Here is a 27,815-nt window from a genome sequence, read left to right on the forward strand (position 1 = left end):
AGGCTGTGCTCTGATAATGGGGTTTTCAACAAAGCTCCAAATGGGAGCTTGGCTGTAAGTGGGCTAGCTTTTATGCCTACCATGCCTCTGATGTGGGGAGTAAGGCAGGATGGGTCTATCCCCAAGTTAAAATGTCACAGACCATGCTATTCTGACTGAGGTTTAGTAGTAGTTCTTGAATGGGTGCTTTCCATTCATTCTGTGAACTGGATTGATTTCCACAGTTCTGAAATGCTTGCTTTTTATTATTTTGCCTAATTTTGTTGCCTTTAGGGGTGCAGCAGGTTCACTCAGGTCTTAATTTCCCCATTCCAGAAGGCAATGTCTAACAAGCATAGATCTTACCCTCAATGCATTAATATCCCAGCTAGAGTAGAATGATGAACACAGCTGGGGAGCAGTGGTACAGTAAATTGAAGTAAGAACCTGTGGAAGTGGGAGTTAAATGCCAGTATTAAATATTCAGATTTTACCCCATAAGTAAGAGAAAATCCTCAATATTTAGAATTGAAGGAGTAACCTGGACAGTAAGATTCGTCAATAAGTATTCTGGAAATTGTAGATGAATTATTGAAGAATATTTTGATAAAGGCAGGCAAGTTGGGAGACTTCTAAAATATGTAGAAGTAAGCTAAAAATGTCATGAGTTATTTGGGTCAATAGAAATCTAAGAAATTGCAATAAACTTATTTTTTTAAGGAACATGATGGAATTTTAAGATTTGCTAATATGTGAGGCAGATAAAAGGCTAAAATCAGAAATGCTTTAAGTTTTTAAATTTGAATGACTGGAGAAATTAATCCATTGATAGAAATAAGAGATTAGTGTTAGGAGGAGGAAAATTTGTTACATTGTTTGAATTTAAACATCGATGGAACATGCAAAAGAGATTTATTTTTTTTAAATTGGAGACAGGTAAATAGAATTCAGTTTAGAGGTTAAAGTCTGCTAACATAGCTTTGTAAATAAATTTCAGATGAGTACATTTTTTAAAAAGAGATGATTTTTACAGAGAAGTACGTTATAACATACAAAAAATACAGTTTTGAAGGCGGAAATAGAGTGCGAGACACGGATTGTGGACGATTTGCTGAGTGCTATCAAAGGTGTGACAATTTATCGGAAGGATGCTATTTAGAACTTGTTTAATATAGTTTAAAACAGAAATAACAAGTGGATAACCAAAATGGGAGAAAAGGCTAGAAAAGATGCAACACAATTTTTAAAACTTAAGCAGTTTTCAAAGCACTGTTGTGTTATCTTTGACTGGATCCTGGACAGAAAGGACATTAATGGCAAAACTTGTGAAATCCAAATAATGTTTTAAGTTTAGTTAATCATTGTAGTAAGAAAAATAATCTTATTGTTATCTCTTGCTAGTACGTAATCACCTATCTGCTACAGATAATTAGAGTACAAGTAGAACCTCACAGATGAGTCAATGAAGAATTTAGTGTTAACAAATTTTAGGAAAACAGTTTCATTTGAGTTCTCCTGTTGTTTTCTTTTCTTGTAGGTAGCGATGTGACATATAGGGAAGGAAGAATTGAAGTTATTTCAGCTCTGAAGAATCAGAGCTAAAATGTTTATTTCATCAGGCATGGTAAATGTTTTGATAGGCCTCTGGAGAATGAAGCAGTCACTTTTTAAGTATGTTATTTTTTATGGCAGTAGCACTGCATGTACACGGAACACAAGTTACTACTTTTACTAGGAAAGGAAGTAGTGTTTTTGATGTTGTCATTAGATCTATAACTAGAATAAAAACATAATCATAAATATACTTGGTTCGAATCTATTTTTATTCAGAATAATAAATATGAAATATTTTTATTCAGAATAATAAATATGAAATATTTTTTATTCGCATTCAACTTGCTGCCAGTTGACTGTGTTCATAATTTTTTATTAAAATATCTGTGTTTTCTCCAGTTTATCATCTTATTGTAGATAAGACATTTTTACATGCAATGAAACAAGCTACTGAACAAACAAGTTCTGACTAATGTAATTCAATATAGACTCTCAGTTCTATTACATCATTGCTGTATTAGTCTATTCTCACACTGCTAATAAAGACATACCCAAGACTGGGTAATTTATAAAAGAAAGAGATTTAACGGACTCACAGTTCCACATGGCTGGGGAGGCCTCAACAATCATGGCAGAAGGCAAATGAGAAGCAAAAAGCCTGTCTTACATAGCAGCAGGCAAGAGTGTGATCTTTATAAAACCATCAGATCTTGTGAGACTTATTCACTATCATGAGAACAGCATGAGAAAACCTGCCCCCATGATTCAATTACCTGCCACTAGATCCCTCCCACAACACATGGGGATTATGGGAGCTTCAACTCAAGATGAGATTTGGGTGGGAACACAGCCAAATCATATCAGTCACCAATGGTATTTTATATTTTAGGTGATAATATTATTAATAATATTGATATCAACTTAAAAAATATCAAATATTATCTTCCTCTATTACATTATCTGAAGATCTACCTCATATAGGTCATAATGTTCCTTAAGCATGGTCTTCATTTTTCCCAAATAAGCAAATAGTGAACAATGTTGGTCTCATTTCATTTGATTGTATTTGTAGTTGACTGTCCTCTCAACTTCCCCTTAAAATACATATTCACAAATTATTGGCTTTAAAAGTAATTATAATAATGCCATCGCTGAAATTTTTTGCTACTTAAAAGCAATATAATGAACAAAACATAGGTTCTTAAATACATGCTTTTTTGTTTTTAAATTCTTGAGATGCAATTTCTAGAATTTGTATTTTTACAATTTGCTAAGTGTACAGTACAAAAATAGTCTGCTTCTGTGAAGAAAACCTCTGCCAAGAACGTTTTGTTTTATCTTTATGATGAATGTAGATCCCCATTAAAAAGCACATTTTTCATTTCAAATGTTGAATAAGATGATACTTAAAATAATTCAGTTGGTTAAAATTAGATGCTAAGGAAGAAAAAAGCACACACACAAGAGAGTATTTTCTGGTTCTATAATACATTCATTTGATTATAAAATATAACTGTTAATCACTTAATATATAAAAAGCCAACTGAGTCTTGACATTCATGTTGTTTTGAGTAATGCTTCTTTCTTCATAAATACAAAATAATATTAAACACATTTTTTCAATAACATTGTTACATATTAAATTAACCCACCTTTACTTTTAGTGAATGAAAAAAATACTTAGTAGTATGACTTAATTTTCTTACTGCTACTAGTATGTGATTTTCTTATTTCAGTCCACATACTGCTTGTCTTAAAAGATAACTCACGATATAATTCCATCAAAGAGGATAGTATAAATTCTCTAAATGTTTGTTTTAGATTTAACCATAGCTTTCTCTTTACATTATCTATCCAGCTCTTTTACTGAGGGATTTTGATCTTCTACTCATTGGAGGAAACTTTTCCATAAAACCAAAAGCATAACTCCTATCTGAAATTGTTTATTTCTTCAAAAACATTTATTGTATACCTAAAGCATTCAATTCATTAATAAGGAATCTAGTGATAGGGTTGTTTAATGGGTGAAAAATGCACTTTCACTTTCAAACCAATTGAATATTGTTGTGGTATGAATGTATCCCCCAAAATTCCTACATTGAAATCCTAATTCCCATGATGGTATTAGAGAGTGGGCTTTGGGGAGGTTATTAGGTCATGGGGACATAGCCTTCATAAATGGGATTAATGTCTTTATAAAAGAAGCCCTAGAGAGACTCCCTGTTCTTTCCACATGTGAGGATATAGATAGAAGGTGCCCTTTATTATCTGAAAAGTGGGCCCATATCAGACACAAAGGCTGTCTTAATCTTGGACTTCCCAACCTTCAGAATATTAAGAAATAAATTTTGTTTGTTTATAAGGCACCCAGTTTACGGTACTTTGTTATGGGAGCCCAGATGGATGGAGACAGACCTATAATACCTAGATCAGTATTTTTTAAAGCATGATGCATGGATGAGCTTCATTTAGGACTACCTACAGGTGTTTGTTAATAGTGATTGCTATGGCCTTACACTGGGCTTAATAAACCAGAATACTTAAATTCAAAACCACTGCTGAGCATGCCACTGCATGTAGAAAGGTGTGAGAGCCACTGAGTTAGAAAGAAAAATGATAGATAGTAGATAATCTATATTTAAGTCATTTTCTAATCACAAGCATTTATAATAGATTTGATAATAGTCTGTAAAGAAACGTCTTAGGAAACTAGTCCTGCTATATTCAGGCACCTCTGCAAATTTTCCACACATCTAATACTTAGTTCCTTGTGCTAATCCTGTTTCATTAAAATATTCTTAAAGAAATTTGTTTGCATATTATTATTGAAATGGTTCCCAAAATATCTCTATTGAATTACTTCCTTTTCAAAGTATTTTAAAAGAGCAATGATGTATTTTTCTCAGCACACTAACCATCAAGACCTGTTTTATATAACCAAGAGTGTTTTAAAGAAATAAATTATGTTTGCCTAGCATCACCCAACTCCATCAGCCAAGACCAGGCACTTAATTTGCAAGTTCTAGTGCAAAATAGATATGTGCAACTACTTGTTCATTATTTATTATTCATTTCAAAGTGATGGTATCAGAGCATTAGCAGAACCACAGGGCCCTGTAAGACTGCACAGGTTTTTAATCCATGAAGTTGTCCTTGCCAATAGAATACTCATGTGACTTCTACTAGTGAATGACCAAAACATGGTTTAGAAAAAAAAAAAAATTCAAGACTTCATTAAAAAAATAAGATATTTGGCCCGGCGCGGTGGCTCACGCCTGTAATCCCAGCACTTTGGGAGGCTGAGGCCGGTGGATCACGAGGTCAAGAGTTTGAGAACCTCCTGGCCAACGTGGTGAAACCCCGTCCCTACTAAAAATACAAAAATTAGCTGGGTGTGGTGGCGGGCGCCTGTAGTCCCAGCTACTCTGGAGGCTGAGGCAGGAGAATGGCTTGAACCCAGGAGGTGGAGGCTGCAATGAGCCGAGATTGTACCACTGCACTCCAGCCTGGTGACAGAGTGAGACTCTGTCTCAAAAAAAAAAAAAGATATTTATATAATATTTATGTTGTTTAACACCTAAAATTTTTAAACAAAAGTAAGTCCTTTTTTTGTTTTGTTTTGTTTTGTTTTTTTGAGACAGAGTCTTGCTCTGTCGGCCCAGGCTGGAGTGCAGTGGCGTGATCTCGGCTCACTGCAACCTCTGCCTCCTGGGTTCAAGCGATTCCCCTGCCTCAGCCTCCTGAGTAGCTGGGACTACAGGCCCGCGCCACCACGCCTGGCTAATTTTTGTATTTTTAGTAGAGACAGGGTTTCACCATGTTGGCCAGGATAGTCTCCATCTCCTGATCTCGTGATCCACCTGCCTCACCCTCACAAAGTGCTGGGATTACAGGCGTGAGCCACCGCGACTGGCCAAAAGTAAATCTTAAGTTATATAATGCTACCTTTAGATTGTATTAATTTTATTTATTTATTTATTTTTCTGGTGAAAAATATGTATATTTAGAATTATCCAGCTAGACTCAGTGTAAATGATCCCAGTTTTATAGGACAATTTCTTGAAGAAAATCACTTATGACAATTGATTACTTTGGTCAATTACTTATTTTAAAATGAATTTTCTATCTTTTAACCCCTTTTTACTCAACTCCAAACTTGTTCTAACCAAATGAATCTAGACTTGTAGAATACTGTTCCCATATAATAAATACTTAATTTGGCAGAAAATAGAGACAGGTGATACCGAGGTAGATCTTTGACTTCCAGGTAATATGGAGCTTAATATCTCAGATCCAATGTTCAATCTCTTAATAAACACAGACCAAAAATGTGTAAAACAGGAATACTAATGCAATACAGCCAAATTAAGTGGTATTTAACACAGTTTCCTCCTATTTTTCTTCTTTTGCCATCATAAACACATTTTTAAAATTCCACTGTTTCTAAATACATACTCCTCTCACATGTTCCACATGGAGACATTTAAATAACTATGTAGTATGGGTAAAATAGAATAACCCTTAAGATCTCTGCCAGCTGGCACTGAAATGAACCTTCAAAATCATTGTTTTCCCTTCTCTGAAGGACTCCCTGAGGATTACATTGAAAACAATTCTGTCTTGCTGTCTAACATAGTTCATGCATCAACTCTAACCTACAGTGACACAGAAGAATTCCTGCAGTGTATTACCCTGAATAATCCACAATGAACATTCAGAAGACAATTTTAACATTCATGTTCTACATATATAACATGTATGTTGGGATCAAGATTTATCAATGTTTATCAATATATGCTATAGTGGATAATAGCTTAGGAAAAATATGTCTGGTAGACCCGACTAAATATATGACTGCATGTAATCAAATTATATGCAGTCATATAGCAGTTCAAACAGTTACATCAATAACTTACACTAGCACTTACTTTACCATATTAAGTATTATGGTTTAGAGAGAAAATGGAAAGCATGCTGTGATGTTTAAAGTATTCTACTGGAAATATTTGTTATCTTTTGCCTTGTATTCTCAAATTGATGTTTTCCTTGTCATTATGTCTTTACAGCAATATTTTATCTGATACTGTGTCATAGATTAGCCCTCATTCTTCAGATAAGTGACATTAAAATACTTTATGTTATCTATGATTTTTGAAACAATGGACTTTGAGTAATTATTATAAAAAATTAAAATTTTTCTTTATAAATTTAAACAGCTATAAAGATACTATTTCTGGCATATTAAAAACTTTTTCATCTCCAAACAAAACTATCAATTAATTTTTAAAATGTAGCCAATTAAATCTAAATACCAAAGTGTTTTGTTAGCTACTATCATCTATTTATAAAATCCTGAATGACTGCCTCCCTACCAGGCAGAATATTTACATTTTATCTTTTCTTTTTATTTTTGCACTTAAATTAACTCACAATGACTTCATCCAAAATAATATATATCATTTTAAAAGATCATTGACTACCCAAGCATGGAGAAGTTTAAGAATAATCTTCAAAGATCAATTTCCTGTGACCATAAGCTTCAAAGGGTTAAATTTCTTTCAAATTTTTTTATTTCAATGGTTTTTTGTTACATGGATGTATTATATAGTGGTAAATTGTGAGATTTTAGTCCACCCCATCACCCCAAGAGTGTATGTTGTACTCAATATGTACTTTTTTATCCCTCATCTTGCCTCTCACCCTCTCCTTTCTGAGTCTCCAAAGTCCATTATATCACTTGGCATGCCTTTATGAATTCATAGCTTAGCTCCTACTGATAAGTGAGAACATAGAGCATTTGGTTTTCCATTCCTGAGTTACTTCACTTAGAATAATAGCCTTTAGTACCATCAGAGTTGCTGTGAAATACATTATTTTGTTTATTTTTATGGCTGAATAGTATTCCATGGTGCATATATACCAGATTTTCTTTATCAGCTTATTGGTCGATGGACACTTAGGTTGGTTCTATATCTTTGCAATTGTGAATTGGGCTGCAATAAACATATGTGAGCACATGTCTTCTTCATATAATAATTTATTTTCCTTTGGGTAGATACTAAGTAGTGGGATTGCTGGATTGAATGGTAGACCTATGTATTTGTTTGTTTTCATGCTACTGATGAAGACATACCCAAGACTGGGCAATTTACAAAAGAAAGAAGTTTAATAGACTCACAGTTCCACGTGGCTGGGGAGGCCTCACAATCACAGCAGAAGGTAAAAGGCATGTCTCACATGGCAACAGGCAAGAGAAGAGAATGAGCGCCAAGAAAAAGAGGTATTCCCTTATAAATCCATCAGATCTCATGAGACTTACTACGGAAGAAGAGTGTGGGGGAAACCACCCCCATAATTCAATTATCTCCCACTGGGTCCCTCCCACAATATGAGGGAATTATAGGAGGTAAAATTCAAGATGAAATTTGGGTGGGGACACAGCCAAACCATATCAATCTACTTTTAGTTCTTTAAGGAATTTCCATACTATTTTCTGTAGAGGTTGTACTAATTTACATTCCAACCAGCAGTGTATAAGTGTTCCCCTTTCACCATATTCATGCCAAAATCTGTTGTTTTTTGACTTTTTGATAATGGCCATCTTTGCAGGAGTAAAGTGGTATCTCATTGTGGTTTTAATTTGCATTTTCCTGGTGATTAGTGATGTTCAGCATTTTTGTCATGTTTGTTGGACAGTTGTGTATCTTCTTTTGACAAATGTCTATTCATGTTATTTGCCCACTTTTTGATGTGATTATTTGTTTTTTTCTTGTTGATTTGTTTGAGTTCCTAGTAGATTCTGGATACTAGTCCTTTGTCAGATGCATAGTTTACAAATCTTTTCTCCCGTTCTGTGGGTTGTCTGTTTAATTGACTGATTATTTACTTTGCTATGAAGATTTTTAATTTATTCAGGTCTGATTTATTTATTTTTATTTCTGTTGCATTTGCTTTTGGGGTCTTAGCCATGAATTCTTTGCCTAGGCCAATGTCCAAAAGAGATTTTGCAAGCTTATCTTCTAGAAATTTCATGGTTTTGGGTCTTAGATTTAAGTCTTTGATCAACTTTGAGTTGATTTTTCCATAAGGTGAGAGACAGAGATCCAGTCTCATTCTTTTACATGAAGCTAGCCAGTTTTTGTAGTAACATTTATTTAGGTGTCATTTCCCTAATTTATGTTTTTGTATGCTTTGTCGAAGACCAGTTGGTTTTAAGTATTTGGCTTTATTTCTGTGTTCTCTATTTTGTTCCATTGGTCTATGTGCCTACTTTTATATCAGTACCATGCTGTTTTGGTGATTATACTGTTACAGTATAACTTGAATTCAAGTAATGTGATGCACCCAGATTTATTCTTTTGACTGAAAATGGCTTGGGTTATTTGGGCTCTTTTTTGGTTCCATATGAATTTTATGATAGTACTTCTAATTCTGTGAAAAATAATGTTGCCATTTTCACGGGAATTACATTGAATCTGTAGATGGCTTTGGGCAGTACAGTCCTTTTCACAATATTGATTCCTCCAGTTCATAAGCATGAGACATGTTGAAATTTGTTTGTGTCATCTATGATTTCTTTCAGCTGTATTTTGTAATTCTCATTGAAGAGATCTTTCACTTCCTTGGTCAAATATTCCTAGGTATTTTATTTTTTTTTTGTCACTGTTATAAAAGGGATTGAGTTCTTGATCGAATTCTCGGCTTGGTTTTTATTGGTGAAAATTAATTTTGCAATCCGAGACTTTACTGACCTCATTTATTAAACATAGGAATCTTTAGAAGAGTCTTTAGTGTTTTCTAGGTATACAATCATATCATGGGTGAATAATGATAGTCTGACTTCTTTTCCAATTTGGATAAAGGGTTAAAATATCTGCTGATTATCATGACACTTAGAATTAGTGTAAATTGATTAAAGCATCATTAGTATATTATAATTGCTTATAATAATATGTTTTTACACTATTATTAAAATAGTTACTGTAATGTTTTTGTTATAATGCATCCATGTATTCGTTGATGAAATTTACTTATTTTTCAGGTAATGTTCAACATTATTTCTCTTACTATTTTTTACATTTTCTGAGCATAAGCACTGAGAAATCATATATATATATATATATATATACACATACACATGTTGCATATTTAAATAATTGTTACATCAGTTATACCAATGTCACTGCTGTAACCTCCTTCTGGATTATGTAAGAAAAATGATATAGTGTAGACTTAGCAAAAAATATTTTTAATCATCTATCAGCTAACAAACTCAAGTTTTCAAATTAAGACACCATCAGACTTGAAAAAGAATACTTTTTGTTGTCCAATGTCAACATAAATATTACATCTACCTTGACATTCTCTGACCTCTCAGACTTGGTTATTTTATCTACACTTCTACACCACTGCAATGCTCTATCTTTCTCAACACATATATGTCATCTAATAAATGATCTGTCCTCCTGTTTAAATATTAAACTTCTTAAATACAAGGACCATGTCTTATTTATGTATGTTAAATGAATAAAATAATGAATTAATGCAAGCCTGTTTTACTACACACATTTATAAAAGCTCAAAAGTGACACAGGAAATATTTTAATGCCATAACACTCTTTATGTTGTTGATTTCTTTCTAAAATGAAGTTATTTATTCAGCATTAAAATATACCATATCTATTCTTGATTACATGCTGCTAAATTGAGATATATAGCTTTGAATTTCAGAGGTCATTTATTTGTAGTGGCTTCTGATTTTAATTGAAAAGCAACATTACACAAATTTATTAGATAACAGCATGTTGTTGTGATTAAGATAATAGATCCTGAGGTCAGACAGATTTCCTGCCATGGACTATCTGTGTAAGCTTGGGCAAATTACTTAATCTATGTTTCAGTTTCTTCATCTATAAACAGGCAATAATAGCCACCACATCAAGTTGTTTTAAATATTAAAGGAGATAATAAAAAATTAAGTCATTAACTTGTGTTTGCCTGGCAGATTGTAAGTCTTTAGTAAATGTCTTTGTCACGTTGGGCTGCCATAACTAAATATCACAGATGGTGGCGTGAACAACAGACATTTATTTCTTATAGTTCTGGAGGTGGGAAAATCCAAGATGAAGGGGCTAGAAGATTCATTTACTGGTAAGGTCCCTCTTCCTGGCTTGCAGACCTTGTCTGCTTGTTTCTGTATCTTCACATGGTGGAAAAAGAGAGAGAAAGCTCTTCCTCTTATAAGGACATTAATCCTATTAGGAGAGTTCGGCCCTCAAGACTTCCCAAAGGGCCCACCCCCAAACACAATCACATTAGGGCTCCAACGTGTGATTTTTAGGGGAACACAAACATTTGGTCTACAGCAGCAAATAATACTTATTCTACTGTTATTACATTTACTATTACCACCACTATTACCATCATAACTAATGTGAATAGTGCTTCATTTTACCTCATGTGTATGGCCAATCCTGTAAGCACAAACAAACCCAGCAGAAGATAATGTAATTGTGGCTAGAAAGGTAAAAAGAAACATAATAAAATTCCCCATATAGCATATACGGTAAATTATAGCACCAAATAGCAATATAATTCATGAGAACATCTACAGTAAAAAGCAGGTTCAGTGACTGAAAAATTGAGCAAGCCAATGAGATGAGGCATAAGGTGAATCTTGAAATAAAACCTTGCACTTAATACCTGGCCTATTCTCTGTGCAATTATGGCCTTTGAAATCTTAGTGTAATTTTGCATCAATGTTGTAATAACAATATTTTCTTTGTAGGGCTACTGGTCTCTAGGGAAAGTGCTAAAGATAAACTTCTCTTTCCTTTTATTTACCCTTCTTTCTCTTTTTTTTTTCCTGTCTTTAAAGTAAATGTGACTTACAAAGGCAGGTTTGTGGGGCTGAACCTGAGGCTTATGCAAATGCACATGTGTGACAGGGGCTAATAGAGCATTATATCAGAACCTAAGGGCTCAGTTCCATTTTCTCTCTTCTCATTTGAGATTCATCACTTTTTTATTACAGAAAAATGAGCTCAAAAAAGTTGAAAGACATATAAGTTCCATGAAATCTCCATTAGAGCAGAGAATTTATTTTGTTCCTGGCTGTAACCTTAAAACCTGGAAGAGTAGCTGGCACATATGAAGCATTCAAAAAATTTCTGTTGCTTTAATAATGACATAACGTTTTATTTGTGGGTTTTACATGTATCTTGTCAGGCTTTTTAATGATCTACTTTATGAGACGAAGAGCTATATCCAGAACTGAGTATGAAAATGTCTCTAAATAATCAATCAATTCATTCATTGATTTACTCATTCTTATCCATTTATTATTAATCACTTACAATGATAATGCCATAGCTTTTGTGCATAATTACCATATTTTTCAGTTATTCACAAAAAATAACCTATTTTTATTATAGGAATAAATGGTCTATAACTCAAACTTAATTATGTTTGATGAATTGCAACAGGTAAAGAAAGAGCATTTAATTTTGAATATTCAATCTTTCTCCATTATTCTTAAAAGGGATTCATTACAGTCTGAATTAAATTGGTTGGCAATAACATTATTATCACTGCATATGCATTTTTTTTTCAAAGAGCATCCTCTAGATTCACTTGATGCATGGAAAGAACCTATGATATCTATTTTCCTGGTTTTAGAAAGGCCTAAGTCTTTCCAGGAAAGATAGAAATTTAATTACAAGTAGTTAAATTTGCCTCTACTTCAGGGTTCTAGGTCAAATCATTTTTCAAAATACAGTTTTAATTCACTTTATTTTTTAATTGATAAATAAATAATTTTATGTATGCATAGGGTACATAGTGATGTTTTCATATGTATAACACATGGTAATCAAATCAGGATAATGAGCATATCCTTCATCTCAGAAATTTATCATTTCTTTGAGTTGGGAACATTAACTATCCTCCTAGCTATTTGAAGCTATATAATATATTATTGTTAACTATTGTTAGTTAACTACAGACATCTCTTTTAAATAATTATTTGTGTAGTTTGAACATATATTAGAACATTAGCTGTACATTGTTTTAAGAATCAAGAAATTCACCCATTAGAGAAATAATCATTACTTGATTTTTAAAATTTTATGACGAGTAACTTAAATATAGTAAAGTAAACATTCGATTGACACCTAGACTAACTTTTACAAGATAAAAAACATTTTGCAAAATTACAGAATACGCCCTTTCAATCAGTAATCTTCCAAAGTAAATGCTGTTTTATCTACTACCATATATTGGTTTTGCCTGCTTTTGAACTTCATGCAAATGGAATCACACACTGTATTATTTTATGTTTAGCTTCTTTCATTCAACACTGTGTGTTAGATTGATCCATGCTATTATGCATAGACTTGCTTTGTTATTTTTGTTTTGCTGTTTATAATTCCATTGTATAAATATACCTCCATGTATATATCCATTTTACTATTGGTAGATATTTACATTATTGTAGTCCAGGCTATTATGATATAGCTACTATAAACATTTTGTGCATAGTTTTGTTTTTGTTTTGTTGTTGTTGTTGTACACATGCACTGATTTCTCTATATATGTACCCAGGCTTCTAATTTCAGGGTTCATAAGGTAGGCATGTGTTTCATCATAGAAACTTCTGCCCAACGGGTTTTCAAAGTGATGTGCTGATCAGTGTATGCTCTCACCATCAATGTACAAGATTTCCACGTTGCTTTACATCTCCATCAACACTTGAAATAGCTAGGTACTAAATGTTTGTGTACCCCCAAAATTCATATGTTGAATCTCTAATCCTCAATATTGGAAGTAGAGCAAGATGGCAGATTAGAAAAGCTCCACCGATCATGCCCCCTACAAGTCCACCAAATTAACAACTATCTACACAGAAAAAAACACTTTCGTAAGAACCAAAACTCAGGTGCCCAGTCAGTCCCATGTTTTAACTTCATATCACTGAAAGAGGCACTGAAGAGATAAAAAAACAGTCTTGAATTATCAACAGCACCCCCCACCCTGCAAATCCCAGCAGCTGCAGCATGGTGTACAGAGTGTCTCTGGGTGCTGGGGAGGGAGAACACAGCAATCGTGAGGCATTGAACTCAGTGCTGTCCTGTTAGAGCAGAAAGGAAATCTGGACCAAACTCAGCTGATGCTCATCCATGGAGGGAGCATTTGAACCAGCCCTAGACAGAAGGGAATCACTGATCCCAGTGGTCCAAACTTGAGTGCTTGCAAACCTCACCACCAAGGGCTACCACACTCTGAGTCTCCAAGTAAACTTTAAAGGCAGTCTAGGTCATAATTGTAACTTTTAGGCAAGTTTTAGTGCAGAACTAGAACCAGAAACAGTGGATGAGGGGGCATGCGACATACTGAGATGCCAGCTTGGGCAGCCAAGGCTGTGCTGACATCACCTCTCCTCTAACCCCAGGCTGCAAAGCCCAAGGCTCTAAAAGATTTCCCTTCATTCTGCTTGAGCAGAGGAGAGGGAAGGGTGAGGACTTGTCTTGCATCTGGGATACCAGCTTAGCCACAGCAAGATAGGGCACTGGTCAGAGTAGTTCCAGATGACATTTCTAAAGCACCCTAGGCCAGAAGGAAACCCACTGCCTTGAAGGAAAGAACCTAGTCCTGGCAGCATTTATCACCTACTAACTGAAGAACCCTTAGATCCTGAAAAACCAGGTACTACATCAAGGACTGTATTAGTCAGGGTTCTCTAGAGGTACATAACTAATAGGATATATGTACATACAAAAGGGAGTTTATTAAGGAGAATTGACTCATACATTCATAAAATAAAGTCCCACAAAAGGCCATCTGCAAGATGAGGAGCAAGGAAGCCAGTGGAGGATCAGTCCGAGTCCTAAAACCTCAAAAGTAGAGAAGCTGACAGTGCAGCCTTCAGTCTGTGGCCAAAGGACTGAGAGGCCCTGGCAAACCACTGATGTAAGTCCAAAAGTCCAGCTGAAGAATCTGAAGTCTGATGTTCAAGGGCAGGAACCATCCAGTATGGGAGAAAGGTGAAGGCTGAAAGACTCAGCACTTTTGCTCTTACATCATCTGCCAGCTTTATTCTAGCCACACTGGCAGCTGATTAGATGGTGCCCACCCTGATCAAGGGTGGGTCTGCCTTGCCCAGTCCACTGACTCAAATATTGATATCTTTTGGCAACACCCTCACACACAGACCCAGGAACAATACTTTGCATTCTTTAATCAAGTTGACTCTCAATATTAGTCATCACAAGGGCCTTGGCGAGCTTCTGTGACTTGCTGGCCTCAGCAAGTCTGACTCAGCACATTTTGAGCCACACTGCAGCTGCAGTGGCTATGGCACAAAACTCCTTCTGCTTAAGCAAAGCAGAGGGGAAAGTAAAGGGGACTTTGTCTTGCACCTTAAGTACCAGTACAGCCACAGGGAATAGGATACCAAGTGGGCTGTTGGGGCCCCTGATTCCAGGACTTGACTCTTGGACAACATTTCTGGACCTGCCCTGGGCCAGAGAGGAGCCTACTGCCCTGAAGGGTAAATACTGGGCCAGAATGCATTCACAACCTGACTTAAGAGACCTTGGGCCTTAAGAGACCATCAGCAGTAGTCTGGCAGTACTCCCCATGGCTGTACTTATCAGTGGTGGTGGCTATGGGATGAGGCTCCTCTGCCTTTGAAAACGGGAGGGAAGAGGGAGAAGGACTGTATCTTTTGGGTTGAGTCACAGATCAGCCGCAATAAATTAATACCAAGTAGATTTTTAACATGGTTTGACTGTGTCCCCACCCAAATCTCATCTTGAATTGTAGCTCCCATAATCCCCATGTGTCATGGACGGGACCCAGTGGGAGGTAACTGAATCATGGGGGCAGGGTTTTCCTTTGCTTTTTATGTGATAGTGAATAAATCTCATGAGATCTGATGGTTTTATAAAGAGCAGTTCCCCTGCACATGCTCTCTTGTCTGCCACCATATAAGACATGACTTTGTTCCTCTTGCACCTTCTGCCATGAGTGTGGGACCTCCCCAGCCATGAGGAGCTGTGACTCCATGAAACCTCTTTATCTTTATAAATTACCCAGTCTTTGGTATGTCTTTATTAACAATGTGAGAAAGCAGGGACTAATACAGTAAATTGGCACTGCTGTAAACATACCCCAAAATGTGGAAGCGACTTTGCCACTGGGTAATAGGCAAAGGTTGGAACAGTTTGGAGGGGTCAAAAGAAGGTAGGAAAATGTGGGAAGGTTTGGAACTTCCTAGAGACCTGGAGGGCTCAGAAAACAGGAAGATATTGGAAAGTTTGGAGCTTCCTAGAGACTTGTTGAATGGTTTTGACCAAAATGCTGATAGTGATATGGACAATAAAGTCCAGGCTAAGGCAGTCTCAGATAGAGATGAGGAACTTATTGGAAACTGAAGCAAAGGTGATTCTTGCTATGCTTTAGCAAAGAGACTGGCAGCATTTTGCCCCTGCGCTAAACTTCTATGGAACTTTGAACTTGAAAGGGATGATTTAGGGTATCCGGTGGCAGATATTTGTAAGCAGTAAAGCATTCAAGAGGTAACTTGTGTGTTCTTAAAAGTATTCAGTTTCATTCGTTCACAAATATATGGTTTGAAATTGGAAGTTATGTTTAAAAGGGAAGCAGAGCATAAAAGTCCAAAAAATTTGCAGCCTGATAATGCAATAAAAAAGAAAAACTGGGCCAGGCACGAAGGCTGACACCTGTAATCCCAGCACTTTGGGAGGCTGAGGCAGGCAGATCACAAGGTCAGGAGTTTGAGACCAGCCTGGCCAATATGGTGAAACCCCATCTCTCCTAAAAATACAAAAATTATCTGGGCCTGGTGGCAGGCACCTGCAGTCCCAGCTACTGGGGAGGCTGAGGGAGGAGAATAGCTTGAATCCAGCCTGGGCGACAGAGTGAGACTCTGTCTCAAAAAAAAAAAAAAAAAAAAAAAAAAAAAGGCTGGGTGCAGTGGCTCATGCCTGTAATCCAAGCACTTTGGAAGGCCAAGACAGATGGATCACGAGGTCAGGAGTTCAAGACCAGCCTGGTCAAGATGGTGAAACCCCATCTCTACTAAAAATACAAAAAAAATTACCCGGGAGTGTTGTCATGTGCCTATAATCTCAGCTACTCGGGAAGCTGAGGCAGAGAATTGCTTGAACCTGGGAGACGGAGGTGGCAGTGAGCCGAGATCGCACCACTGCACTCCAGCCTGGGTGACAGGGTGAGACTCTGTAAAAACAAACAAACAAACAAACTGATTTTCTTAGGAGAAATTCAAGCCTGTGGCAGGAATTCGCATAAGTAATGAGGAACCAAATGTTAATCACCAAGACAATGGGGAAAATGTTTCCAGGACATGTCCGAGGTCTTCACAGCAGCCCCTCCCATCACAGGCCTGGAAGCCTAGGAGGAACAAATGGTTCCCTGGGCCAGGCTTATGGCCTTGCTCTTTTGTGCAGTTTTGGGACTTGGTGCCCTGCATTCCAGCTATGGCTAAAAGGGGCTAACATTCAGTTCAGATTGCTGCTTCAGGAGTTGAAAGCCTCAAGCCTTGTTGGCTTACATATGGTGTTGGTCCCATGGGTGCATAGCAGTCAAGAATTGAGGTTTGAGAAGCTCTGCCTAGATTTCAGAGGATGTATAGAAATGCCCAGATATCAGGCAGATGTGTGCTGCAGGGGCAGAGCCCTCATGGAGAACCTCTGCTAGAGCAGTGCAGAAAAAAAATGTGAGGTGCAAGAATCTGCACGGAGTCCCCACTGGGGCACTGCCTAGTGGAGCTATGAGAAGACAGCCACCATCCTTCAGACCCTAGAATGGTACATCCACCAACAGCTTGCACTATGCACCTGGGAAAGCTGCAAACACTGAAAGTCAGTCCAGAAAGCAGCCATGAGGGGGGGCTGTACCCTAAAAAGACACAGGGGTGGATCTGATGAAGACCATAGGAACCCACCTCTTGCATCAGCATGACCTGAATGTGAAACATGGAGTCAAAGGAGATCATTTCATGGCTTTAAGATTTGACTGCCCCACTGGATTTCAGACTTGTATGGGGCCTGTAGTCCCATTGTTTTGGCCAGTTTCTAACATGTGAAGCATGTTTATTTACCCAATGCCTGTATCTAGGAAGTAACTAACTTGCTTTTGATTTTATAGGCTCAAGGGCAGAAGGGTCTTGCCTTGTCTCAGATAAGACTTTGTACTGCAGACTTTTGAGTTAATGCTGAAATGAGTTAAGACTTTGGGGACTGTTGGGAAGGCATGATGGTTTTGAAATGTGAGAACATGAGATTTGGGAGGGGCTAGGAGTGGAATGATATGGTTTGGCTGTGTCCCTACCCAAATCTCATCTCAAATTGTAGCTCCCATAATCCCCACATGTCATGATAGGGACCCAGTGGGAGGTAATTGAATCATGGAGGCAGGTGTTTCCCTTGCTGTTCTTGTGATAGTGAATAAGTCTCATGAGGTCTGATGGTTTTGAAAAGGGTAGTTCCCCTGCACAGGCTCTGTTGCCTGCCACCATGTAATATGTGCCTTTGCTCCTCGTGCACCTTCTGCCATGATTGGGAGGCCTCCCCAGCCATGTGGAATTGTGAGTCCATTAAACCTCTTAAGTTACTCAGTTTTGGATATGTTTTTATCAGCAGCGTGAGGACAAACTAATACAAATTCTAAGTTTTTTTTACTTCAGTCCCTGTCTCTTGGCTGGCACTTCTGGACCCATTTGGGGCTTGAGGGATCTTGCCATTCTGAATGGAAGGACACAAGCCTGTCCTTTGTCTCCTGCTGATTGGAGAGCCACAGGGACTGGGTGAACATAGGCAGTAGCCAGGGAGTGGTTACAGCAGGCCTTGGTGAGACCCAGCACTGTGTTGGATTCAGGTCATAGTAAGTGGTGATTACAGGGGTGATTGTGTTACTCCACTCCTAGTTTTAGGTGGCTCAGAACAGTGAGGGAAACGCTGTATGTATGGGATAAAGTAAGAAAGAGAACAAGAGTTTCTGCCTGGTAATCCAGAGAATTCTCCCCGATCTGGTTCAAGACCATCAAGGCAGTATTTCTAAGAGTCTGCAAGAACCACAGGATGACTGGGTTGTGGTGCCTCCTAAAGAAGACACAGCTTAGATCAGAACATCCAAGTCTTTTCAAATATCTGGAAAGCCTCCCCAAGAAAGATGGCTACAAATAAGCTCAGACCACAAAAACTACAATAAGTACCTAACTCCTTTATGTCCAGAAACTGAAGAACATCTATTAGCATCAACCCAATTCAAGAAAACATTACCTCACCAATGGACAAAATAAGGAACCAGAGACCAATCTTGGAGAACAGAGATGTGTGTCCTTTCAGACGGAATTTAAAATAGCAATGTTGAGGGAACTCAAATAATTCAAGGTAACATAGAAGGAATTCAGGATTCTATCAGATAATTTTAACAAAGATCTTGAAATAATTAAAAAGAATCAAGCAAAATTCTGGAGCTGAAAATGCAATTGGCATACTAAATAATGCATCAAAGTCCTTTAATAGCAGACTTGATCAAGCAGAAGAAATAATTAGTGAGCTTCAAGACAGGCTATTTGAAAATACACAGTCAGAAGAGACAAAAGAATAGAAAACAATGAAGCACACATATGAGATTCAGAAAATAGCCTTAAAAGGGCTAAGAGTTAATGCTCTTAAAGAGGAAGTAGAGAACGAGATAGGAGTAGTAAGTTTACTCAAAGGGATTAATAACAGAGAACGTCTCAAACCTAGAGAAATATGTCAATATGCGAGTACAAGAAGGCTGTAGAACATCAAGCAGATTTAACCCTAAAAAAGACCACCTTGAGGCATTTAATAATCAAACTCCCAGAGGTCAAGGATAAAGAAAGGATTGGAAAAACAGCAAGAGAAAAGAAACAAATACATATAATGGAGCTTCAGTATGTTTGGAAGTAGAATTTTCAGTGGAAATCTTACAGGCCAGGAGAGAGTGGTATGATATATTTAAAGTGCTGAAGAAAAATAACTTTTACCCTAGAATATTATATATGGAGACAATATTATTCCAACATTCAGGACAAATAATAACTTCCCTAGACAAACAAAAGCTGAGGAATTTCATCAATGCCAAGCTTATCCTACAAGGAATGCTAAAAATATTCTTTCAATAAGAAAGAAAATAACATTGATGAGCAGTAAATATTCACCTGTGAAAGTACAAAACTCACTGTTAATACTAGGTACACAGAAAAACACATAATATTATATGTAATTGTAGTGTTGTTTTTTTTTTTTTGAGACAGAGTCTCGCTTTGTCTCCCAGGCTGGAGTGCAGTGGCCTGGTCTCGGCTCACTGCAACCTCCCGCTCCGGGGTTCAAGCGATTCTCCTGCCTCAACTTCCCAAGTAGCTGGGACTACAGGCGTCCACCAATACGCCTGACTAATTTTTGCATTTTTAGTAGAGATGGGATTTCACCATATTGGCCAGGCTGGTCTTGAACTCCTGACCTTGTGATCCGTCTGCCTCAGCCTCCCAAAGTGCTGGGATTACAGGCGTGAGCCACCGTGCCTGGCCTAATTTATTAGTATTCTTATAAGAAGAAATTGAAGAGAGCTTGCTCTCTCTCTCTCTCTCGCCACCCCCCTCACCCCCACTATGTGAGGAGACAAGAAGATGGTCATCAGCAAACCAAGAAGAGGGCCCTCACCAGAACTCAACCATGACACCACCTGGATCTTGGACTTCCCAGACTGCAGAACTGTGAGAAATAAATTTCTGTTATATAAACCACCCGGTCTGTGGTATTTTTGTTGTAGCAGCCCAATGGACTGAAACAGAAATTGGTACTGGGAGTGGAGTTGGAAAAGGGGGTGGCACCACTCACAGTTATCCCTAGTGACACACTTGCACAATTTTTGCTTCCTATTATCTCAAGTTTATGCTCTGTTGGCCTCACAATCTTACTCTCAAAGAGAGGAATACTTCCACCAAGAAACACAACAAGAAGTCCTTTGGAATGGAAGTTAAGACTGATATTTGGCTTCTTTGGGCTCCTCATGATTCTGAATCAACAGGCAATAAGGGGAATTATTGTCCTGGCTAAGGTGATCTGTCCAGACTACAAAGGGGAAATTATACGACTGCTCCACCATGAAGGTAAGGAAGAGTAGGTCTGAAATATAAGAGATCCCTTCAGGCATCTCTTAGTATTATCATGCCCTGTGATTAAGGTAAATAGAAAACTACAAGAATTCAATACTAATGGCTTAGATGCTTCAGGAATAAATGTTTGGTGGTGGTCAATAAAGTGGTTCATGCCACCAGGTAATGAACCACTACCAGCTGAGGTGCTAGCTGGAGGCAAAGAGAACACAGAATGGGTAGTAGAAGAAGGTATTTGTAATACCAATTATGACCCATGACTCAGTTACTGTAACCAGGTTTGTGTGTGTGTGTGTAACTCTTAAGTATCTTTTTCTTTTCTCTCTTCTTCCCTTATCACATAAGATGTGTTGACTTTTTATCATAGTATTTGATAATTTTGTATTAGTATTTAAATTATATGATGCCAAAGAAAAGAGTAAACATCACTCAAGGATTTTGCCTCCACTTCTGGGGAATGGGTGGCATGTTTTGGATTGTATTGTGGATAGTTGTATCATGTTAAGTGAAATTTTGACCTTGTTATTATTTTCATTAGAGACTAAGTATGGTTTAATGGCATGTGTATGAGTGCCAAGTTTACAAGAGGTGGACTGTTGTGATTAATTTTATGTGTCAATTTGAGTAGGCCACAAGTTGTACAAATATCTGGTTAGATATTATTTCTGGATTTGTCTTCAGAATTTTTCTGGAAGTGATTAGCATTTAGGTTGGTGAACTAACTAAAGCAGATGGCGCCAGTGTGGGTGTTATCCCATTCATTGACAGTCTAAGTAGAAGAAAAATTGGAAGAAGGTCTCTGCCTGACTGCTTGAGCTGAGACATCTATCCGACTTGCCACTGATGCTCTTGGTTCTCAGGCCTTCGGACTTGAACTGGAATCTATACCATCAGCTCTGTGGCTCTAAGGTCTTCGAACTATACCACTGGGTTTGCTGAATCTCCAAGTTGGACATGGAAGATCATGGGAATTCTCAGTTTCCATAATCACAAAGCCAATATACTGTTATAAATCTCTTTGTGGATATATGATTCTAGGATATTTCTTTGTGGGATATATGTGATATATCCTATATTACATCTAGTTTGCTACCTAACCATACTACTGGTTTTATTTCTCTGGATAATCCTGAGTAGTACAGAATTATGCATTCTTTTAAGATTAGCCATTGTTGTGGTTACCTATTGATACCACATTATGGCTTTAATTTGCATTTCTCAGACGAGTAATCATGTTGAACACCTTTATACATATTTATCAATCATATGTATATTTTCATTGTCTAATAAGTGCCTTTTCATGTCCCTTGCTAATTTTAAGATATGGTTTCCTATTGTTATATTACTGATTTCTAGATACATGATTTTTTGATATGATATTGCAAATATTTTCTGCAAGTCAGCAGCTTGTCTTTTCATTCTTTTAATGGTCAGTTTTGCTCAACAGAAGTGTTAAGTTTAATTATGCAATCCAATTTATCAGTCTTTTTTTTAAAAAAAGAGACAAAGTTAGTGCTTTTGTGCCCTAGTTATTAATCTTGGCCTACCCCAAGATTATGAAGATATTTTTCTATGTTTTATTCTAGAAACTTTATTGTTTTACTTTCATCATAGGTCTGTGTTCCACCTTTAATTAATTTTTGTAAATGGCATAAAATAAATGGTCAAGTTTTAATTTTTTCCCGTGTGGCTATCTAATTGACCCAGCACCATTTATTGAAAAGCCCACCACCCTTGCTGTCACCGAATTCTACAGTACTCTTGGAATGGATTATATAATCATACATTAGTGAGTCTTTTTCTGGATTACCTATTCTTTTCAATTGATCAAATAATTTATCAGTGTGCCAATAGCATAAAGACTGAAATTTTATAGTAATTATTGATATCTAGGTAATTTAATTTCTTCAGCTTTGTTCTCCTTCAAGATTGTCTTAAATAATGTAGGTACACTGCATCTGTATATGAATTTTGGAAGAAATTTGTGAATTTATATACATGCACATGCACGCATACAAACACATGCCTCTTTGGAATAAATACAATTATAGACATAAAATGAAGCTTTTAAAGCTGATGCAGAAAATTTAATGCTATCCTCTTTAAAAAAAAGCGTTCACCAACATTTTGGTGTATATTCCTTTTTATGATCAGTTATGATCAGTAGAGAACCAGACACATTCTTACTGTGTTTCCTTTTATCTATAAAAGTCCTTTAACAATATCCGCCTTATTCCTCAAAATCTATTTCAAGATAATGAATCTTCTTATCTTTAAACATGTTTAATTAATTTGTCAAATTATTCTGTATTACATACATAATAAATATCAAGTATAAATGGTGTGGAATTAATATTTTTAAAGATAGATATATTAATGATTTTTTGATGGCCAGGGTAACTTTAAACACAATAGAGAAAGGAAATTAACTCTACTGAATTTTTCCATGTGTTTAAATACATTGACTTGCATGTGAAATAGTTTAAATGATACAAGTTAAATCTATTGTTGCCCATCTATAAAATGGGATACCGAGGAAATTATAGAAAAGTTTGTATAATGTGATTCAGCATATTTAAGACAAAAGGTTACATGCAGGTAAACATTACCCATACTTATCTATAAGATGTCAAAAGGGAAGATTACAGGTAGTTGGATTATTTCACTCTCTGATTTCACTTCAGTGTTGTTTGAGATTTCATTATATTGTTTTGGTTTTATTAATAGTAATATAACACATATTTGTAAGGATGTCTTTACAAAGATGTAGTTAATATCTCTCAGTATAAAAAGAATGTGTTGGTACTGAAATGGTTTCTTATAAGGGTGACTGTGAAATCTTTCAGGGAAAATATATATTTTGTTTTTGTTTCCTAAGGCCTAGCCCAGTATGTGAACAAAATTAGGTATTAATTAAAAAATAGATGACCTCAATTCAGAGAGCTTGTATATTATTTTTGGACAGTCTATTATGTTAATTGTAGAGTAACAGAATTTCTGTGAGTTTATACCCAACTTTAGATATTATGTTCTTACATTATTTAGCATCAACTAATAGTTAAAATTAAATATGATGTCCTAACAAATAGCTCTTAGGGAAAATATGGAACAAAAATTTGTTGAAATATTATGGTATGTTTTTTCAAATACTGTCCATTCTTTCATTTATATAATCAACTCATCAGTTAACTGACTACATTATATCGTATATCCTAAAGTTAACTGAATGACTTTGGCTTCAAAAGGGAGCAGAGCAAAGTAAAATTTGAGGGATAATCTTTACTGGGTTTAGACAAATTAGTGAAGATGTAGGAACAAGATTAAGGATGTAAATGGTATCTGAAATAAGCACAGGTCATTGGGAGACTGGTTCACTGTTGACAGACCCTTGAAGTTATTTTTCTGTTATCATGGAAAAGCCTGGAAGTGATATTGGCACAAGTATCATTGGGGGATCTAGTGATTCCCATCAAGACATAAGGCATAAAATGTGTTCATTACTCCACTGGTCTAGTTTGGGTAGTGACATCTTAACCCAGCTTCCAGAGATCGTGTTTCCTTGTGGAAGCTCCTTATTGAAGTATTGGGCTAGTTGTTTACCAGAAGTTGGTGCTTTGATACCAATGAGAAATAAGGAAGAAAAGTCATACTATAATAATTTCTATATTACTAAGGCCTTAGTGATATTTGAAAATATTGTTGGTGCATATTTTTTCTCTTGCAACTTTGACATGGTTCACAGCCTCAAAGTTAATGCTTTTATTGTTGGTGATCAATACAGATTTTACTACATTTTCTTAAGATCTACGTTACTGTCTTACATGGGAGTAAAGCATTATTGTAGTTTATGCAAAAACTCTGTTTTCTTGTTTCTGGGAATCTTATTGAGGAAATTATATAGTCCCCTGGGCAGATAATTTTCCTTATATTGAAAAGAATTAACTTTTTTTTTCATTTACTTTAATGTAGCTGGGTTGTTAATTTGTAGCACATTGGTGGAAAAAGCCACAGCAGGAAGCTTTTGGCTCTTACTGAGATATGTAAATTACAGTAATAATCTTTGCATTAAAAGTGATAAAATAAATTTAATGGGTCCAGTCCCACAGTTCTTATTCTGAACCACCTCACCAAAAAAAGAGAAAGAATTTTATGAATAAAACTGGAAATATTCAACTAAATTTAGTAAGACTGTTTCCATAGCTTGTATTCCTTCAATTATTCTTAGAAGTTTCCTTTGAAAACACAATGGAAAGATTCAAAATATGCTGACCTTTTCCTGACCTGAGGTTTTGTCTCACTATTAATAGGAGTTTTAAATGAATAAATATCATATGCTTATAAAATATAATAAGCTAGAAGTCTATTTCTCTTTAACAAAAATTAAGAGACATACATGGCCTTATATACTGTGGGGGTGAATGGATGTTCAAATAGCAATATTTCTTTCTCTTACTGATTGCCACCCTCTCTGAAATTCTCAATAGCCATGGGGGTTTTTAAAATAATATACTCACTATGTCTCCATAAGATCCATGTTAAAATATAAGCATGTTGAAGAACATGGACACAAAAATACATTATTGTCCATGTTAAAATTTTTGAATGACTTTCTTCTCAAGGATTGTGAGCAGAGCCTTGCAAGAAGTATGAATACATGTCATTGGTACATGGAAAAGAGAAGAAAGGGAGACATCAGGTGTATGAACTATTGTCCAGATGTAGGCGGCAATGAGGGAAAGTGTGTCAAAGTGCACAGGCCAGTGAAGGGAGCCTGATTTATGTCATGAAATACCATTCCTCTGCTGCACAATTTCATCTTGAGTTTGCCCTATTCATGACTTTTCAGTGTCAATAACAAAAACACGAAGACCAATAATATAATAGAAGTAGTGGGATATTTAGAGTAGTTACTATGTATTTTTTGAAATTCTTTGAAAATGTTCACAGAAATTATCTTGATTTACAGGAACAAATGAAGATATATGAGGGAAATTACAGAATTAGTAGCATGAAGCTAAAGTTTCCCAAAGAAGGCATTATTTTACTCTAACTGAAATTTACTAGCCAAATGATCATATTCTATGGAAACCTAGTACTATTAAAAAAAACCTACATTTTTACATGCACTGTTAAAATTTTACCTGCTTAAAATATAGCATGCCTAGCAATTTTTCCAGTCCCAGTTTAATTTCTGTCACAATAACGGCTCTTAACAGATTATTGTGCTTAAAGAAAAAAAATAAGGGAAGAAAGTCCAAGACGAATTTTCTTCTCTTGATGTTTAGAGAGGTATATTTTGAAGCCCTGCCCTAGTGCATGAAAGGTAAATGGCTTCTGTTTTTAATGAGAATTCCAGCAAAGTAAGAAATGGCTCAAGCCAAGTTGCTGCACTGGTTGTTTATGGCTGTTGTCTGCTCTGAATGGATGGGTGTGTGCTCTGATTGGTTGGCACTTATTGTACCAGTTGTTATATACAATATTTTGAATAACACCCTGGAGAATAACTGACAGAAAACTTGGAAGTAATTGTCACCTCATCCAAAAATCCAATTATGTAGAAACTTGTATCATAGTTGTGGGAAAGCTGTTATATGGATCCAGTATGAGTAGCAGCTGCCCACTTTACTGTTGCTCTCTAGAGAAATACTAGCTCAAGGATGCCCAAACGCTTAGGAGAATAAATCAAAATATGTATCAAGCTTTCCACACTTGCTACTTGCTTATAGTAATCAATATCTTGACATATTAGGGCATATGAGGATATTTTTTCAATTATTTTGTAATTTTTACATTTTCTAACAAAGTAACAGTTACTATCCATTTTAATAGATGAGAATCTAAGTCTCTAAGTTTTGTTTATATCAGTCTAGTGAAACAAAGTGATACTTCACCCATAATCACTATTCAAAAGTTTATTGAACATCTATTAAGATGCAAATTTCTATGATAGACACTATGAATGGTTTAAAAAAAGACAATATATTATTGCTCTACAACATCTTTTAGTATATGAAGAAATGTGTGCAATGTCTTTTGATTTAATTCTACATTTCCTTAAGGGGTGGCTTGCCAGAAAAGCATTTGAATTCTTAAAAGAAAGTCTTAGGCAAGTCATTAGGAAACACCTCATGACTAAGAATAATAAGAAAACTGAAATGCATTTATTGAATAAATGTTTATTGAATGTAATAAAGAGAAACATTGTCTGCTTTGAAACAGAAATAAGTCTGATGAAACCTCAGTCACACCAAGTAAATTCAGCTCAGAGTACCATACTTTGAGATTCTCAGAGGAAAAAGCTCCTAGCAAGGGGCACAGGTGAGGGTAGGGTTGGGGAGCCTTGAAAAATGAGGCTGGAGAAGAAGGCAAGGTCCAGGTGAGCAAGAAGCTTGTATGGATGCTATGAAGGTTGAGCTTTAGCTTGTATGTGCAAACACCAACAGATTTTGAATGTGGAGGGAGGTGGCCTAGTTATATTTTATTTTTAGATAATAATGGACTATGGAACTGAGTGTAGCAGCCCTGATGATGGGCATACACTAATTAAGGGGTCATTCCTGTAGTCTAGTTATAGGTGGTGCAAATTTAATGTAGGCTAGTTTCAGTCAGAAATATTTTATCAATATACCTTTTTTTGGGTGGGAGTAATCAACTTGGCCATGCAAATAGGGTGAAACTAGTTTTAGTAAATCTAATTCCAATGACGCTTTTCAATAGAGACCTATATAACACGTTTTCTCTCAGAGGCTCACCCATTTTTAACTGGGAGGCAGCTGGTATACAACATCAACTAATAACTAATGCTCTTCACAGAACCTCTGGGACACTCATTGAGTCTGCTTTCTTTGCAGGTCTTGCCTCATCACTGCCATGACAGGGGGGTCCAATGTGAGGATTCTGGTGTCTATGCCAAGCATCTCTTTTCCAACGTAGATCTGATTTCTTAACATAGCCAACAGCAAGTCAACATCAGCTTTGCAGAGAAAAGCAGGTATTAAACGAACATAAAATATTATTTGGTGGTTATAAACAAAATATGTAATTATAAGTATAAAGCTTTTTCTAATGTTTAAGTCAAGAAGTTATCCATAAT

The 27,815-nt window shown here is 36.2% G+C and overlaps 1 long non-coding RNA gene across 5 annotated transcripts in view; it reads left to right on the top strand.

Moving 5' to 3' along the window:
- The window catches only part of LOC105378027 (uncharacterized), a 246,946-nt gene that overhangs the window by 191,832 nt on the left and 27,299 nt on the right, over positions 1 to 27,815 (top strand). For all 5 annotated transcript variants that reach the window (XR_001744387.3, XR_001744385.2, XR_007059791.1 and 2 more), the window contains one exon: positions 27,574 to 27,713. This is a non-coding gene — a long non-coding RNA (uncharacterized LOC105378027). The remainder of the gene's footprint in view (positions 1 to 27,573; positions 27,714 to 27,815) is intronic.

This window comes from Homo sapiens, chromosome 6 (assembly GCF_000001405.40).
Source record: "Homo sapiens chromosome 6, GRCh38.p14 Primary Assembly".
NCBI lineage: Eukaryota > Metazoa > Chordata > Mammalia > Primates > Hominidae > Homo > Homo sapiens.